Here is a 19991-nt window from a genome sequence, read left to right as displayed (position 1 = left end):
ATGACAGGATCAAATTCACACATAACAATATTAACTTTAAATGTAAATGGACTAAATGCTCCAATTAAAAGACACAGACTGGCAAATTGGATAAAGAGTCAAGACCCATCAGTGTGCTGTATTCAGGAAACCCATCTCATGTGCAGAGACACACATAGGCTCAAAATAAAAGGATGGAGGAAGATCTACCAAGCAAATGGAAAACAAAAAAAGGCAGGGGTTGCAATCCTAGTCTCAGATAAAACAGACTTTAAACCAACAAAGATCAAAAGAGACAAAGAAGGCCATTACATAATGGTAAAGGGATCAATTCAACAAGAAGAGCTAACTATCCTAAATATATATGCACCCAATACAGGAGCACCCAGATTCATAAAGCAAGTCCTGAGTGACCTACAAAGAGACTTAGACTCCCACACATTAATAATGGGAGACTTTAACACCCCACTGTCAACATTAGACAGATCAATGAGATAGAAAGTCCACAAGGATACCCAGGAATTGAACTCAGCTCTGCACCAAGCAGACCTAATAGACATCTACAGAACTCTCCACCCCAAATCAACAGAATATACATTTTTTTCAGCACATCACACCTATTCCAAAATTGACCACATACTTGGAAGTAAAGCTCTCTTCAGCAAATGTAAAAGAACAGAAATTATAACAAACTATCTCTCAGACCACAGTGCAATCAAACTAGAACTCAGGATTAAGAATCTCACTCAAATCCACTCAACTACATGGAAACTGAACAACCTGCTCCTGAATGACTACTGGGTACATAACGAAATGAAGGCAGAAATAAAGATGTTCTTTCAAACCAATGAGAACAAAGACACAACATACCAGAATCTCTGGGACGCATTCAAAGCAGTGTGTAGAGGGAAATTTATAGCACTAAATGCCCACAAGAGAAAGCAGGAAAGATCCAAAATTGACACCCTAACATCACAATTAAAAGAACTAGAAAAGCAAGAGCAAACACATTCAAAAGCTAGCAGAAGGCAAGAAATAACTAAAATCAGAGCAGAAATGAAGGAAATAGAGACACAAAAAACCCTTCAAAAAATTAATGAATCCAGGAGCTGGTTTTTTGAAAGGATCAACAAAATAGATAGACCGCTAGCAAGACTAATAAAGAAAAAAAGAGAGAAGAATCAAATAGACACAATAAAAAATGATAAAGGGGATATCACCACCGATCCCACAGAAATACAAACTACCATCAGAGAATACTATAAACACCTCTACGCAAATAAACTAGAAAGTCTAGAAGAAATGGATAAATTCCTCGACACATACACTCTCCTAAGACTAAACCAGGAAGAAGTTGAATCTCTGAATAGACCAATAACAGGATCTGAAATTGTGGCAATAATCAATAGCTTACCAACCAAAAAGAGTCCAGGACCAGATGGATTCACAGCGGAATTCTACCAGAGGTACAAGGAGGAGCTGGTACCATTCCTTCTGAAACTATTCCAATCAATAGGAAAAGAGGGAATCCTCCCTAACTCATTTTATGAGGCCAGCGTCACCCTGATACCAAAGCCTGGCAGAGACACAACATAAAAAGAGAATATTAGACCAATATCCTTGATGAACATTGATGCAAAAATCCTCAATAAAATACTGGCAAAACGAATCCAGCAGCACATCAAAAAGCTTATCCACCATGATCAAGTGGGCTTCATCCCTGGGATGCAAGGCTGGTTCAATATATGCAAATCAGTAAATGTAATCCAGCATATAAACAGAACCAAAGACAAAAACCGCATGATAATCTCAATAGATGCAGAAAAGGCCTTTGACAAAATTCAACAACCCTTCATGCTAAAAACTCTCAATAAATTAGGTATTGATGGGACGTATTTCAAAATAATAAGAGCTATCTATGACAAACCCACAGCTAATATCATACTGAATGGGCAAAAACTGGCAGCATTCCCTTTGAAAACTGGCACAAGACAGGGATGCCCTCTCTCACCACTCCTATTCAACATAGTGTTGGAAGTTCTGGCCAGGGCAATTAGGTAGGAGAAGGAAATAAAGGGTATTCAATTAGGAAAAGAGGAAGTCAAATTGTCCCTGTTTGCAGACGACATGATTGTATATCTAGAAAACCCCATTGTCTCAGCCCAAAATCTCTTTAAGCTGATAAGCAACTTCAGCAAAGTCTCAGGATACAAAATCAATGTACAAAAATCACAAGCATTCTTATACACCAACAACAGACAAACAGAGAGCCAAATCATGAGTGAACTCCATTCACAATTGCTTCAAAGAGAATAAAATACCTAGGAATCCAACTTACAAGGGATGTGAAGGACCTCTTCAAGGAGAACTACAAACCACTGCTCAAGGAAATAAAAGAGGATACAAACAAATGGAAGAACATTCCATGCTCATGGGTAGGGAGAATCAATATCGTGAAAATGGCCATACTGCCCAAGGTAATTTATAGATTCAATGCCATCCCCATCAAGCTACCAATGCCTTTCTTCACAGAATTGGAAAAAACTACTTTAAAGTTCATATGGAACCAAAAAAGAGCCCGCATCGCCAAGGCAATCCTAAGCCAAAAGAACGAAGCTGGAGGCATCACACTACCTGACTTCAAACTATACTACAAGGCTACAGTAACCAAAACAGCATGGTACTGGTACCAAAACAGAGATATAGATCAACGGAACAGAACAGAGCCCTCAGAAATAATGCCACATATCTACAACTATCTGATCTTTGACAAACCTGAGAAAAACAAGCAATGGAGAAAGGATTCCCTATTTAATAAATGGTGCTGGGAAAACTGGCTAGCCATATGTAGAAAGCTGAAACTGGATCCCTTCCTTACACCTTATACAAAAATCAATTCAAGATGGATTAAAGACTTAAACGTTAGACCTAAAACCATAAAAACCCTAGAAGAAAACCTAGGCATTACCATTCAGGTCATAGGCATGGGCAAGGACTTCATGTCTAAAACACCAAAAGCAATGGCAACAAAAGCCAAAATTGACAAATGGGATCTAATTAAACTAAAGAGCTTCTGCACAGCAAAAGAAACTACCATCAGAGTGAACAGGCAACCTACAAAATGGGAGAAAATTTTCGCAACCTACTCATCTGACAAAGGGCTAATATCCAGAATCTACAATGAACTCAAACAAATTTACAAGAAAAAAACAAACCACCCCATCAAAAAGTGGACGAAGGACATGAACAGACACTTCTCAAAAGACGACATTTATGCAGCCAAAAGACACATGAAAAAATGCTCATCATCACTGGCCATCAGAGAAATGCAAATCAAAACCACAATGAGATACCATCTCACACCAGTTAGAATGGCAATCATTAAAAAGTCAGGAAACAACAGGTGTTGGAGAGGATGTGGAGAAATAGGAACACTTTTACACTGTTGGTGGGACTGTAAACTAGTTCAACCATTGTGGAAGTCAGTGTGGTGATTCCTCAGGGATCTAGAACTAGAAATACCATTTGACCCAGCCATCCCATTACTGGGTATATACCCAAAGGACTATAAATCATGCTGCTATAAAGACACATGCACATGTATGTTTATTGCGGCATTATTCAGAAGAGCAAAGACTTGGAACCAACTCAAATGTCCAACAATGATAGACTGGATTAAGAAAATGTGGCACATATACACCATGGACTACTATGCAGCCATAAAAAAGAATGAGTTCACGTCCTTTGTAGGGACATGGATGAAACTGGAAATCATCATTCTCAGTAAACTATCGCAAGAACAAAAAACCAAACACCGCATATTCTCACTCATAGGTGGGAACTGAACAATGAGATCACATGGACACAGGAAGGGGAACATCACACTCTGGGGACTGTTGTGGGGTGGGGGGAGGGGGGAGGGATAGCATTGGGAGATATACCTAATGCTAGATGACGAGTTAGTGGGTGCAGCGCACCAGCATGGCACATGTATACATATGTAACTAACCTGCACAATGTGCACATGTACCCTAAAACTTAAAGTATAATAATTAAAAAAAATAAAAAATAAAATAAATAAACAGAAGAACAAAAAAAAAAGAAAAAAAAGAAAGAAAAGGTTAGTAGAAACAGTCCAGCAAGTGATAAAGACTTTAAAGTATCAGATATGGACTTTGAAACAATTATGATTAATAAGTTTAGGAATTAAATGACAAAATAGAGAAGTTTAGCAGAAAACTAGAAACTATAAAAAGAAAATTAAATGAAAATTTTAGAACTTAAAAAATCAATAACTAAGGTTACAAATTCAATGGGATGACTTTAACCACAGATTATCTAATATATTGAAGAGAGAATTAGTGAACTGGAGGATAAGTCGGTAGAAAATATCCATGTTGAAGCACAAAATGACAAAGGAATAAAAAATACAGAAAAGAGCATAAGAAACACATGAAATCTAGAGGAAAAAGGTCCTAACATATGAACACAATCCCAAGAAGAGAGAAATGAGAAAACTAGGCATAAACAATATTTGAAAAGTTAATGGTTAAGAATTCCCAAGCACAGTCGGGCATGGTGGCTCATGCCTATAATCCCAGCACTTTGGGAGGCTGAGGTGGGAGGATCACGAGGTCAAGAGATCGAGACCATCCTGGTCAACATGGTGAAACCCCGACTGTACTAAAAATACAAAAATTATTTGGGCGTGGTGGCACGCACCTCTAGTCCCAGCTACTCGGGAGGTTGGGGCAGGAGAATCACTTGATTCCAGGAGGTGGCAGCTGCAGTGAGCCAAGGTTGCACCACTGCACTCCAGCCTGGGTGACAGAGCAAGCCTCCATCAAAAAAAAAAAGAATCCCCAAGCACCAACCAAATAAAAAGAAGTCTCATAAGCTCTAAGGAGAATAAATTAAAAAGAAAATCACACCTTATAATAAAACTGCTAAAACCAAAGTGAAATAAATCTTAAAAGCAGCCAAAGGAAAAAACAGATTACATTCGAAGGAGGAATAATCAAACTTACAGCCAACTGCCCAACAGAAACAATGAAAGCCAAGAGACAATGACAGTTATGATAAATAAAATAACCGACAATCTAGAATTCTAAATCTAGAAAAAACACCCTTCACAAAATGAAGATGAAACAAAGACTTTCTTTTTGTCTTTGAAACCATGCCTCACTCTGTTGCCCAGGCTAGAGTGTGGTGGCACAATCATGGCCCACTGCAGCCTTGACCTCCCAGGCTCAAGTGATTCCCCCACCTCCACCTCCTGAGTAGCTGGGACTACAGGCATGTACTAACATGCACAGCTAATTTTTTTTTATTTTATTTCTTTCTTTTTGTAGAGATGTTGTCTCCCTATGTTACCCAGACTGGCCTCAAACTCTTGGGCCAAGTGATCTTCCTGCCTCGGCCTCCCAAGTGCTGGGATTACAGGCGTAAGCCAACGTGCCTGGCCCAAAGATATTTTAGACAAACAAGAACTGAGAGAATTTATCTTCAGCAGACCTGCACTAAAGAAAATACTAAAAATTATTTCAGCTGTAAGCACAGAGATGCAGAAAATAATAAAGAGCAATGGAAAAAATCACTTTTGAGTAAACCTACATAACCATCATATTTAACAAATAAGACATTTTATTTTAAAAAATGAAAAAATCTTGTAGGGTTTTAAAAATAAAGAATATTCTCCCTAACCATACCCTAGAATGTCAGTAGCCATCTCACTTTCAAGACAATTATTAGGTTGACCAGAACAGAAATCCAGTAAACTAACTATGAGATCATTCCAAATGTGAATCCTATCCCCCTAAAATTAGTTTCCTTTCAATGGATATTTGATTTCTTTCCAAACTTTGGATATTATTTACCAGAAAGATATCACTATTCTTTTGGAGTGGGTGTATGTCTATATCTATATATATGTCTTTGCATATTCTTTCCCTTATTGAAATAAGTTTTTAGAACAGAGAATGCTGATCAAAAAAATGTGTCCATTTTCTGTTTTGCTCTGTACTGGCAAACTAACAGAACTTTTAAAAGTAATCCTTCTATCCTCCAATTATTTTAAAATGTATTTATTTTTTCTTTCACAGGTATCTATTCGCTTTTATTTTTTTTTCTCCAAAATCCTGCCAATAGGGAATTTACAGCCATTCAGGTTCTCCACAGTGTAAGAATACTGCAAAGGAGTGTCAATAACAAGAGTGATCAACTGCCTGCCAAAATGAAAAATCTTAGACTCCTTGAAATGAAATGAGGGGGAGAAATTGGAAAGATTAAATGAAGACGTAAACACACCAAAGGCTTTTCAAATTAGAAAGTTATACTCATCAAAATGCATCATATGAAACCACACTGAGCTATTCCCCACACTAAAAATACCATCCCTTTCATCTGTGGACACTGATACCACTGGTCTGGGACTTGCCTGCATGCCTGTCTCCTGCCAACCAAGATAATGTGATGGGGGAGCTTTTCTTCCAGCAAGTCTAATCCTGGGGGAAAAGGAAAACAGAACAGTTTTTTCCTAAGGCAATAAAAAAAGCTTCAAAAAATTTAATGAAAGGAATCTTAAAATGTAGACTGAACAATTAAATTAGTTACCCTGAACACTTTCTGAAGTTAGTCCTTGAGACAGAGTCTCACTCTGTCACCCAGGCTGGAGTGCGGTGGCACCATCTCTGCTCACTGTAGCTTCTGCCTCCCAGGCTCAAGTGATTCTCCTGCCTCAGCCTCCCAAGTAGCTGGGATTACAGGCGTGTGCCACCATGCCTGGCCAATTTTTGTATTTTTAGTAGAGACAGGGTTTTGCCATGTTGGCCAAGCTGATCTCAGACTCCTGATCTCAGGTGATCTGCCTGCCTTGGCCTTCCAAAGTGCTGGGATTACAGGCATGAGCCACTGCATGTGGCCAGGAATTTTATTTAATGTTAAAAAAAAAAAAAGAGTGAAAAAAAACAAGCCCTAAGTGCTGAAGACCAAAAGCCATTTGTTTTAAACATTCTGACTTACCTGTTTTTAAAGTTTTGGCTCGGTTCACTTTTTAAAGAAAATTAAAAATAAAGTAAAGGAGGCTATGAAGTAGTAAAATAATAAAATGTGGGTTTCTCTATTTTAGATTACAAAAGACCTAGAATGTTAGATCTAAAAAAATGCTTTAGAGATCACCCAGCATAGCTAACCCCTTACTTCACAAATTAAAGAACTAGACTTAACAAAAAGTAGGAACAACTTACGCATGGCCATAAATGAGCTAGTGGAGTGGGGCAGCCAGAACAAATACCCAGATATCCTGGTCCATTTACAGACTCTGTCTTGGGCTCTCTCAATTTATCTACATACAGGGAAGAGAGGGGCAGGCAATCCAGTTCTACAGCTATTTGCTTCAAAAGTTTATCCCAGGAGACTTTCTGAGAATCACAGATATAGCCTAGGGAAAAGACTCCTCATTCCTCCTCATTATTCTCAAATTCTCCCTACGTCTTCTCAGCCCCCAAATTCTGTTGCCTGAACCTCCTAAACATCTCTCAAACACATCCTCCCATCTGTATTACCACTGCCACTGATTTGGGCATCATTTTTCCTCACCTGGATTCCTGTTCAATCTCTAAACTGTCCTCCTACCTCCAATCCTACCACTTCTCCAACACTCTCCCTCCACACCGAACCCTTCCACATCGATCACCCATTGACCTCCACACTGAATCTTCTCCACATTGACTTCCCCATTTCAGATCCCATCCTCCACTTTGGACAAATGACTCCCCTGCTTCAAACCCTTTCATGAAGAATTCCCTTATCAAGAAACGCAGAGTCTCAATCGCTTCCCTTTGCTTGTGGGATAATACTTGCATTCGTTAGGGTCTTATTGGTAAACAGATGATATACATAGGACAATTTAAGGAAAATGTATTTCCAAAAGGACCAAGTTTAAAGGAGTTCTAGGGTACAGGGAAATTATAAAAAAAAAACACTCAGAAACCCCTGGCTAGTAGAAGTAGAGCTGTGTGGTAGATGGCTTCCAAAATGGCCCACAAAGATTTTCTGAATTCTGGATCTTGGTATTCACATCTTTGTGTAAATCCCTCACCTTGAGTGAGGGGTGGACCTAGTGACTTCTTACTATCAAAAGGGATGGGATAATATGTCCAAAATTGGGCTGGGGGAGGGATAGCATTAGGAGAAATACCTAATGTAAATGACAAGTTGATGGGTACAGCAAAACAACATGGCACATGTATACCTATGTAACAAACCTGCACGTTGTGCACATGTACCCTAGAACTTAAAGTATAATAAAGAAAAAAATGTCCAAAATTAGGTTATAAAACACTAAGACTACTACCACCCATCTTCCTTCTCTGCCTGTTGTCACTCTGATAAAAAAAAAAAAAAAAAAAAAAAAAAAACCTGCCATATTATGAGCTGCGATATGGAGAGACACGTGTCATAAATAACTAAGAATGGCCTCTGGCAAACAGCCAACGAAGAACCGAGTCCACCATTCCAACGGCCCCTAAGGAGCTGAATCCAGCCAACAGTCACACAAGTAAGTTTGGGAGTAGACTTTTCCCCAGCTGAGACTTCAGACGAAACCATAATCCGAGTCAACATCTTGATCACAGCCTTTTAAAAAGACACTGTGCTGGAGAACTCACGGAATCTGCACTTGGATTACTAACCCATAGAAATTGTGACATAATAAATGTTTTCAAGCCATTGAGTTTTGAGATAACTCGTTACACAGCAAGAGATAACAAATACAAACTGGAACCACCCCAAGGCCCAAAAGGATGAGTAGATGAAAAGGATGTCCGGACCCAGAAGAGGAAAGTAGTCGGCAAAGGCCCAAAAGGATGAGTAGACAAAAAGGATGTCCGGACCCAGAAGAGGAAAGTAGTCTGCCTTGAGAGAATCAACAAACTTCAGTAGACGGATATGGCCAGTGCAAGGTTTTGCAGAGTGAGACCCAGGAGAAGAAATTCTCTGACATTGCGATTCTCCTTCCCTCCCATCTCTTTCCAGACTTTTACTAACCAAACCCAACTGAAACCCAGAGGTCACAGGAGCCCTGTAAATGTAGTCCTCACAGCTCAGCCTCTGGGGCAGACAGCAGCATGCAAAGGAGTTGAACTTGGGTGTGGAGGCCCAAAGGGAAGATACTTTTACAATGTCTAAACTCCTTGGCATGGTACATAAGGTCTTTTGTGATCTGGCCCTAATCCATCTGTCTAGCTCTATTCCTCAACCTTTCATCACAGAAACCTAGCTTCATATCAACCACTTAAAGTCTCCTGAACTCGGTATACGACATCACAAATCTGCTCTTTTACAGGTGCTAGTCCTGCCTCCTACACCTTCTCTCTCCTCCTCCATCTGGTTAATTCCTAGTCATCTTTCAAGAATCGAAGCAGGTGCCAAATCCTCTGGATGTCTTCTACATCATCATCCCCTCTCCTGGGATGGACTACATGACCCCTCTACCTCCTCCCATGCCCCTCAGTTGCTTCTACCAACACTGTAATTGTCTAGTTCCCCATTTACCCCCAGCTGGCCTGTGGGCTCATTCAGGGCTCAGTTCTCATCTTGCATTCCTAGCATCTAATAGTGTCTGGCACACAAATGACACTCAATACGTATTTCCTGATTCGACAGTTTCTAATCCTCATCATGCCTTAGTCACCAGGACCTGCAGGTCCCCAGACTCTCAATTGTGCTGGCTTCTACCACTGCCCTCTATGAATTCCAAACCACACTCTATCCCTAGCTTCCTCCATAGCATCGGATTCTTCCAGGCTAGATCCTTCCCTTCTTGCTGCATACCACAGCCAATGTAACTAAAATAGTGTGACATTTACTTTCTGGATGTATGCCTAAACCAACAACTGCCCAGGACTTCAAGGGCCCTAAATCATTAGGAAGAGTGACCTTGGGGTATCAGAGCAACATAAAGGCTAGACTCAAATTCCAGCAGAAAAGGAGTCAATAACTAGAAATGAATAGGTGAAGGAAGCCATCAGTGACGAGGCTAGGCAACTAACCTGTTGATATACAAGAACATTGGCCTTTTTTGTCTTCCTCTAAAACCCCTATTTCATCTATGACACTATATACTACTGGCAATGTACAGTGTTGCTACTTAAACACCACTTGTTATGTATATAGCATATAATTAATACTACAAAATGATAATTTTATAAATGTCTTAAATGTTATTAGCAAGCCAAAGAAACAGGTTGCCACCAAGATGTCATCTAAATTCCACTGTTGAATATTAAATAATTACAATTAAAGCTTTTTATTCTAATGCCTGACTTAACTGGGCTTTATCTCAATCCAATTTAGATTACCTACAACTATCTAAAATATTTCTTCAAAAGCTCAAAAGACCTTTAAACGTGCATATAGTCTCACAACATTGTTTTGATATCAGGGAAGTGTACTAATTTACGAAAGATCAAAAAGTTATAGAATGGAACTTTGAAATCATTGCAGAAAGGTATTTGTACATTTTTAGACCAATTTCCTCCCTTTACAGAAGGGGAAATGAGGCCAAAGTATTACATTTTATTTATTAAGCTAATGGTGAGTGCATATAATTCATTTTTTAATTCTTTCTACTTTACATGGACACTGAATATATTCTTTTTGTGTTAGAAGTATCTCACAATTGAAAAGGAAGGAGGAAAAGAATGAAGAAGGTAGAAAACAAAACAAGAAGTAGAATCAGGAAAGTGAAGTTCTCCACACAAAGCTGGGACCAGACAGGCAGAGCCTCCAGCTTTTGGATGTAGAAGACATCCAGAGTGTGACATCTGCCATGCCTCCATCCTTCTGGATGTAGAAGACATCCAGAGTGTGATGTCTTCCATGCCTCCTGACCCAAACAAATCAAATTACCAGTCTAGTTAGGAGAACTTTGTCAAGAGGCATTGTTAACACCAAAGATCCAAACAAAATCAGAAAGCAACCTACTCTTACTCAAAAGCAATCTTACCTATGTAAACATTTTAGAAAATCTTTACCGAAGAAGCAAAAGCACCAATGAGTAGAATGAAACTTTAGCATTAAAAATGTGAGACATTCCATCAATGATATACTGGATTAAGAAAATGTGGCACATATACACCATGGAATACTATGCAGCCATAAAAAAGGATGAGTTCGTGTCCTTTGTAGGGACATGGATGAAGCTGGAAACCATCATTCTCAGCAAACTATTGCAAGAACAAAAAACCAAACACTGCATCTTCTCACTCACAGGTGGGAATTGAACAATGAGAACACTTGGACACAGGAAGGGGAACATCACACACTGGGGCCTGTCGTGGGGTGGCAGGAGTGGGGAGGGAAAGCATTAGGAGACATGCCTAATGTAAATGAGAGTTAATGGGTGCAGCACACCAACATGGCACATGTATACATATGTAACAAACCTGCACGTTGTGCACATGTACCCTAGAACTTAAAGTATTTTTTAAAAATCAATAAAAAAGTGAGACATTAATCCAAGTCAACTCTCCCAGAAGAAACATGAAAGTCAAAGATCTGCCACATATTATTTTCATTAATTTAATGTGCCCCATGGCTACTCAGCTCCAACAATGTGGTAACAGTAGTCTGTGGTTGATAACATGGTAGTCGCATAGGGTGCTAGAAAGGCAACTGATTGGAGTGGCCAGGCTCCCTGGACACCATTATGGCTTCCATGGGAAAGTGCTGAGGAGCCTTAATCAAGTTACTCACCCTCTCTATACTTTTAGTTCTTTCATCTATAAAATAAGACTAGAAAATATCTAAGGAAAAGCTACTAAAATCCCTATGACAAGAGCTTGGTTCTTCTACGTTTTGAGAGATCTACAAATAATTATGAAATCAAAAATCTAATTCAAAACACCAACTCTCTCATTACTTTGCAACACATACTATGTCTGGATATTGTAAAAGACTAAGTAAGTGCTTTTCAAACTTAGTTGGGCATCAGATTTTCCTGAGAACATCTTGAAACTCAGATTCCTAGGACCCAGCTCAGACCTATTAAATAGAAATACCTTGTGGAGGGGGTCCTTTGAGGATTAACATTTTTATAAAGCACCCTAAATGATGTGATGTATAGCTAGGTTCAAATATCATCATTACACTGGGCAATTCAGTAACTCAGGATCCTAAGGATACAGGAATATAAAAAAGGTTAACAGGTCTGGGTGTCTTCATGAATAATTAAGGTTTTCTTTTAAATAGATCTTTAATGTGACCAATACATTTTTCATACACACCTCCAATCCAAACTGTGAATATGAGGGATGAAAAACTAAATTAGAAAGTCTGTTCAAGTCAATAAATAAGTCATGCCTTGGGAAAGTACAACTTCTCACAGTTAATGACATGAAAACATGAAAAGGAAATGAAGAGTGTTCTGAAAAGTGTGGGCTTTAAAAACCCACCCATCATTACTCATATGTCAGGAGGTTACCATCCTAAATGTCATTTAAAAGTCACAACAACATTATGGACATAATCATCCACTTATTACTCGAAAGTTTACCCAAAAGCTTCATTTCTCTAGATTTGGCTTTTTAAATGTCAGCATCTGAATCAACACAATGCAGTCCAAGCAAAAATTTCACACTGAAAGTGTCTGACAACAAGAGAAAAAAAACAACAACAACAAACAAGAGAAAGAAAACAAAAATGAAAGCACAATTTTTTAAATGTAAATTGTAGTCGTGGGTATCTAAGGAAAGGTTTGGGTTTATGGCTATGACTTTGAATAATTGATTACACAAAAGGACTTCCAAAGAAAATGCTTTGAATTGTCATTGGCTTCACAATCCAACCCTTACTGATGATACCTTGAGGATAATGTCCTACAGCAAGTAAGTTCTTGGTTGTAGCCAAAAGGCAGCCTACAGCATCAGGAGTAGAAAACTATATGAAAATCCCATAGTTCAAGTACAACCATGGTTTAAGTCAGTCAGGTTAACTAGGTTTAAAATGGTGTCAGGACCTGAGCTCACACTGTGCAATAAGTGTGTCTTCTTTCTAACAGACTGAACCAATTCAATGTCCCTTTTATGGTAATTAATATAGCAAATAAACATGAACATATATATATATATATATATACTCTTTACACAAGTTTGTCACACGAAAGTAAGATATAGTTTCATTACTAGTTGTCATTTCTCTAAAGAACTACAGCAATTGACATGTTAGTTACTAAATTAAACCAGAAAAGGGCCCCTTACTACCACCAAAAAGTAAAAACCAAGTTCTCATAAACCTGCAGGAAGTTTTTTTTTCCTGTAAACATAATACAAACATTCTAGTAGAAAGGTGGTTGGGTTACATGACCTTTGCATTTCTTATTCTTTAATAATCCATGAATTTGCAATCCTCTGAAGAATATAAAAATATTTTTATTGTTTTCCTGTGTCTTAAAAAAAAACTCACTGTATAAATTTGCTCTAGACAACTTATTAACAGCACCAACATTTAGAGATTTTATCATTTATTTCCTCTCCAAGTGTCACTGACTCTACAAGACCTAAACATGAAAAGAAAAAGAGATATTCATTACGGACCACATTGTGGTCTAAGTAGGATATAAGATGCCTCATTCGATTTATCTAAAGTGATCTTCACAATTACCTTCCTCCCACATTTTTTTTTCTTTTTACAGATGAAAAAATTGTGGCTCATGGAAGTTAAAGAACTAACTTACAGTCATACTGCTAAAGAGTGGTAAAGTTGGCATTTTAACCTAAGTCTCACTCCAAAGCCCATGTTCCTACCAGCCTGGCACGGGGTCTCCCAGTTTGGGGGTGGGTTAAGAAAGTAACAATGACTCAATGTCTATTATTCTGTATGTTTCACTAATTGCTGAGTCCCATTAACCTATTTTTTTCTTTATCGCAATTTAATAAGCATGATTCTTAGAGATGGGTTATCTAGACATTCTCTTGCAAAGCAAAGAATTACAGAATCTTACACTCAAAGCCAGAATAATTTGAGAACTCTATTTTTACAAGGAAAAGAGAAAAATTCACCATATTGATCATCCAGGAATATCTAGTTCCACATTGCCCATATAAGTAATACACAGAGCCTCTCAGAATGCACAGAACTGAGTAGAAACTCAAGTAGTTAGTGAAATGAACATTAACTTATTTCCTTATTAACATACAAGAGAGTTAGTTTAAATTTTCACAAACATGCAAACATCAAAAAGGTGTACAATAAGAAGCAATTATGTCAAATTCAGCATGTACTAAAATAAACTTATGTGCCATTTTCTTCCTTTAAAATGTATTCTTTTTCCAAATATCCCAATTTGAATTAATAGCACCAATGATTTTCATTTACCCAACGTCAAAAACCCCGTCATCTTTGACCCTCTACTTGCCGCCTATATTCCTTCAGTTTCCAAGTCATTTTTAATCCAGACTTTAATTCCTCTTATCAGTTTCTCTTAATTCTGAAGGTGATTTCACAGGCTGGATTAGTGTCTCTCCTTTCCCTCCTTACCTTTCACACAGACACAGAAATCTCTCTCCTAGAGCCTCCGCTCTATCTTGATAACAATCCATTCAGCACAATGGGGCAACAGTCATAATCCCAAAGAGATCTCAATCTTGCAACTCTTGGCACAGAAGTTTTTCTTGATTAAATTGTCTAATTCAACACTAACATCTGGCTCCAGCCAGCCTCTCTTCCCAAAATCCTATCTCCATTTACTCCTTGTAATGCATCCTATGTCCAAGCTAACCAGTTCCGGTTGCTGTTACTTTCCTCAGCTCTGTGCCCTTGCTGAAACATCTCATCACCTGGTATGTTCTTCCTCTCTGCTTTCCACATAAAGCAATCCTGCACATATTTTAAAACTGAGTTCAAAGACCACTCTTCCACAAGCCCATTCTCACCTCTGAGGCTGGGAGAACTGGCCTCCTCCTCTGAAATTATGTAACACTCTACTTGCACATCTATTTTGGAAATTAACATTTAGACTCTATAACAGTTATTTGTGTACATCTTATGTCTCCTACCAACTGTAAGCATCTCATACAAATATACCTCTCTATCTCCCACAGCATTCAGCCCAGATTTTGTACATACTACGAGTCTGAAGAACTTTCAGTTCATACATCTTACACTAAGGCCTTTCCACTGAAGGAGAATGTGTCTTCCCATCTGCATTGCTTAGGCAACCTTTGGGTTTAAAGAAAACTAAATGGCATAATATTTTTCAAGTGTTAAATACCAAGTGCTCAAGTATGAACTTCCTTGAATTTTAGAACTAGAGAACCAGAGGATGTGAGAAGAAAATATGCATTTATCAGTAAGGCAGTTTAGGCAGAAAACATTTGTCTTTTTATCAGCCCTACACAGAACACAACAGTCCACACGGACAGCACGCACGGCACTTGACCAGGCGCCTTACTTTGCAGTAAACGATCATGTTTGGAGAACTCTCCTCTGGGTCAGCAACCCCCACTGCTCTTTGATCCCCGGATCCTTGAGCCATCCTGAGTGTCTTCACTCACACTGCAAAAATAAATGAATAAACCATTAAGTCACGAAGGAATTATATAAAGAGGGCTTTGAAATGCAAAGAATTAAGTAACTTTTGGCAGATGCCATGAACAAAAACATGATATTACATGATACATTTTTTAAAGTTAGGGGATGATTGCAGTCTTACTATCCACAAATATTCTTCTAATCCCCAAACAACATGTTATTGATTTTCAGCTCAGAATCGCACACCCCAGGAGTGAATATACAGCAGTGTTTTGTTTTGTTTTTTTTTGAGACAGAGTTTCGCTCTTATTGCCCAGGCTAGAGTGCAATGACGCGATCTCAGCTCTCTGAAACCTCCGCCTCCCGGGTTTAAGTGATTCTCCTGCCTCAGCCTCCCGAGTAGCTGGCATTACAGGCATGTGCCACCACACCCAGCTATTTTTGTATTTTTAGTAGAGACAGGGTTTCTCCATGTTGGTCAGGCTGGTCACAAACTTCTGACGTTAGGTGATGCACCAGCCTCAGCCTCCCAAACTGCTGGCATTACAGGCGTGCGCCACCGCACCCAGCCACGGCAGTCTTAAATAATCTCCTGAAGACAGTTGAAGCCAATCATTTTGCTGTTGAGTTCACCTTGCCAAAGCTCATTTTCTGATTAATTCTATGCATTAAAATATGAATATTTTATTAGGGAAATCAAAATCCAGACCACAAGGAGATACCACTTCATACCCATTAAGATTATTATAATTTAAAAAAAAAAAACCTCAAGTAAGTCTTGGCAAGGATACAGGGAAATCAAAATCCTCAAACATTGCTGGTAGGAATGTAAAATGACACAGTCACTGCTGAAAACAGCTTAGTGTTTCCTCAAAAAAGTTGAACACAGAATTACCATATGATCTAGCAATTCCACTTCTAAGTACATACACAAACTAACTGAAAACAAATATCAAATACTTGTACACAAATGTTCATAGCAGCACTATTCACAATAGTTAAAAGGGGGAAACAACCCAAATGTCTATCAGTGCATGAATGGATAAATAAAACGTGTATATCCATACAATGGGATATCATTGAGCAATAAAAAGAAATAAAGTACTGACACACACTACAACGTGGATGAACCTTGAAAACATGCTAAGTGAAAACACGCTAAGTGTAAAAAGCCAGACACAAAACGTCACATATTGCTGGAGTCTATTTTTATGAAATATCCAGAATAGGTAAGTCCACAGAGACAAGAAACAGATTGGTAGCTGCCAGTAGCTGCAGGGAGGATGGAATGGGTGACTGCTTAATGGATACAGGGTCTCCTTCAGGGGCCTTGATAGAGGTGATGGCTGTAGAACACTGTGAAAGCATGAAATGCCACTGAATTATACACTTTAAGATGGCTAATTTTGTGTTATGTGAATTTCACCTCAATTAAGAAAAATAAATATATTTAATGTGGCCTTTTTGAAAAGCCTGAAAAGATAACAGTGAGATAAGAACAAGTATATGGAAGTTTTGAGTGAAGAAGGAAGTTCAATCCTTGGTATGACACTATATTTATTGTGTGACCTTGAGCAAGTACAAGAATCTTTTGGGTTTCTTTTGTTAATTTCCCTTTAAAACAAACATACCAAACACCTGCTATATGCTCTGAGTCATGCCAAGGCACCTTCCTCTACATTGTCCTCAGCAGTAAAATGTGAATTCCACCAAGTTCCCCGCAGGTAAGGGTCAAATAAGCTGAGTATGAGAGCAGAGTATAAAGCCATAAAAGTCCTATACAAATGTTATCCCTCATCTAAGAGGCTGCCTGGGTTATTTGCACAAAATTCAGAGGCTTTTCATCAAAGAAACTCTTATAAATACCATACGTGACAGAAAAGGCCATTTCAATTCAAAATACAAATTCAGGAAACATTTTATTATAAAACAAGTTGCTACCAAAGGTCATTCCATAAAAACAAATTTGGGTGGAAAATGGGAGAGAGAGGAATTTGTAATTTATGCTAAGAATTTAATTGCCGAAAATATCCCATTCGAATAACACTACCTGCTTTCTTCACTATTTATAAATTACAATGTTTTTTAAAATTAGATTACATAAAGAGGTAAAGAGCATCATTCTATAATATTATCTCTATACACTGTAATATCAGGATTTCTATGAATATAGTACTACATGGAAACACTGATTACCATTCTAACCAATGGCTTTTAAAATTAAATGAACAACACACAGTTTTATTTTTAAACAACTACTTAGTTGCCTACTCCTTTGCCTTAATACAGAATACAACAGAGCATGAAAACAAAAATTGAGTTCATTTATATATACTCATGTATCCATGTAATAGAGACGTTTTAAGTTTCTGTCGCTTTATTTTAAAATGAACACTTTAATGAGCACATTCTCTTCTATCTAGAAAACTGTATTATAATAGCAAGGTTAGAAATGACCTAGAAACAAACGTGTCAGGCCTCCCTCTGCCCGGCCTCCCTCTGCCCAGCCACCCCCTCCCACCAACAGAAGCATTTGTGTGTGTTAAAACAGGCTGATGTTCCAGAGTCTAGACTGGAAACTACTAAGTGAATGCAGATAGTCTCTGTGTGAAGAATTTTAGTAAGCCTCGTATTCAGTAGAAATGTTTCTATTTTTGGTTCCTCTATTAACTCGTTTTGAAACTCAGACAAGCTATTTAGCTTTCCTGTGTCTAGAAAGAATCATTTCTAAAATAATAATATACTTTCTAGTCCATAGGTCAACAGATGTTATAGAGAACTGGATGTGAAACCTACATAGGTAAAGATTTTCTAATTAAATTCATTGACTATTAAAGCTGGGGCTTGTGAAATTAAAGGACTAGGTTTTCATTCATTATAGTATGATGTAAAATACTTCTTTTAAATGGAGTACAATAGAAATGGGTTTAAATTTAGTGGTAGAGAAAAACAGAATGTTCTTCATTGTACTTATATATACATATATATACACACAGTAAACAACCCAGGGGCTTCAATATTAACATTTGAAGAATGTGAACATTTTTCTGAAAACATGTAACTGCATACCAAAAGAAAGAAAGCATGTTAATATTATTTTCCTATATGGACTCACAGCTAACCCAAGAGGAAAACTGAAAATGGGCTAGGACCTTGCATTTCACAGTCTTCAAGAAGAGACAATACAGCTTGATGGTTACAAGATGCCTCTCATTAGACAGATCCATGTCCAAATCCAGGCTCCACCACTTCCTAGCTGTGTGATCTTAGGCAAGTTCCTTCTCCTCTCTGTGCCTTTAATCTGTTATCTGTCACACACCATAGCCCCAGCATAGTGGAAAGCCCTCTGAACTAGGAGTCCTGGTATCACCCCACCCCTAGCTCCTTTGCAACTAACCAACTATCAGAACCAGGACACACAGCTTCCCTGGACCTCAGTTGGGCATTGGCTATAAAATCCAGCAACCTTAGAGTTCCTTCCAGCTCTGAGCTAGACCCTCAGAACCTCACATTTCTAACTTTCCTTCAAAGGTTCTCACCAGAATGTTCCATGCCACGTGTCTCTGTCAATACTGCCTATATCCCAGCCCATCTCCTCTATTCATGACAGCACTCAATGTCTCAAAGAATAAATCACAAAACCACTGCGGTGGAGCATCCCCCATCTGACTCAGCATCCCTCCCCATGACGGAATTCCTATACCACACCACCCACCCTCAGGTTCTTTGGAACTCATCATTTATTCTTTGAGCAAATATACTGAGCATCTACTTTTGTAAGGTTCCATGCTAGGCCCTGGGGATATACAGATAAGTCAGACACAGATCCTCTCCTTAAAATGTTCAGAGACCGGTAGGAATAACAGATGTGTTCACAGAAAGGACACTGTAATATGTGGTTGCTCAATTATGATGGCACAGAGTAGGAGGAGGTGACAGATGAGCAGAAGCCTGGGAGAGGCAAAGTTTGCCATTCCAGCCAAGGCTATGCACACACACAGGCATAGAAATCTGAAGCCCCAGAAGCGGCTCAGCTTTGTGCTAGACAGTCAAGAGAAAAAAGCCACAAAGATAATCTGATCCCAGAAAGATTAAGTGGGAGACAGCCAAGTGTGGAGAGTGAGATAACAGGGATTCGCAACTATCTGAATCTGCGGGACTTTGTTTACTTGTCTATCAGGGACTTCCTCTCTAGAAAGTCAGTTCTTCATAGGCAGGGACTTTATCGTTGGGGTTCACCCCTCTCTCCCTGGCACCTAGAGCAGAACCTGGCACATAGAAGGTACTTAAATATGTTTGAATGAATGATGGAACTGATAAAATTCCACCAGGATGCAGTGTCCTCCTTCCAGAAGATTCATCTGGATAACAAGCCATTAAAAGTGGCCAATAAAGAAGACTCTTGATCAACAAAGACCCATGTATAGCATCACACATAAAGATTTTCCCCAAGGTTTATTGATATGAACCAGCCTGGACTCAGC

At 38.6% G+C, this 19991-nt stretch overlaps 1 protein-coding gene across 51 annotated transcripts in view; it reads right to left on the bottom strand.

Moving 5' to 3' along the window:
* RGS6 (regulator of G protein signaling 6) overlaps nucleotides 1-19991 on the bottom strand; it is a 762695-nt gene that overhangs the window by 649727 nt on the left and 92977 nt on the right. For 50 of the 51 annotated variants that reach the window (NR_135235.2, XM_024449761.2, NM_001370270.1 and 47 more), the window contains one exon: nucleotides 15428-15531. The exons of the other annotated variant lie outside the window; for it this stretch is intronic. Coding sequence is in view for 49 of the 50 variants with exons in the window: in XM_024449761.2 (XP_024305529.1) it covers nucleotides 15428-15511 (84 nt within the window). In the remaining variant the exon portion in view is untranslated. The remainder of the gene's footprint in view (nucleotides 1-15427; nucleotides 15532-19991) is intronic. 51 annotated transcript variants of the gene reach the window in all.

Source organism: Homo sapiens, chromosome 14, assembly GCF_000001405.40.
Source record: "Homo sapiens chromosome 14, GRCh38.p14 Primary Assembly".
NCBI lineage: Eukaryota > Metazoa > Chordata > Mammalia > Primates > Hominidae > Homo > Homo sapiens.
This window is presented reverse-complemented; position numbering and strand designations above follow the sequence as displayed.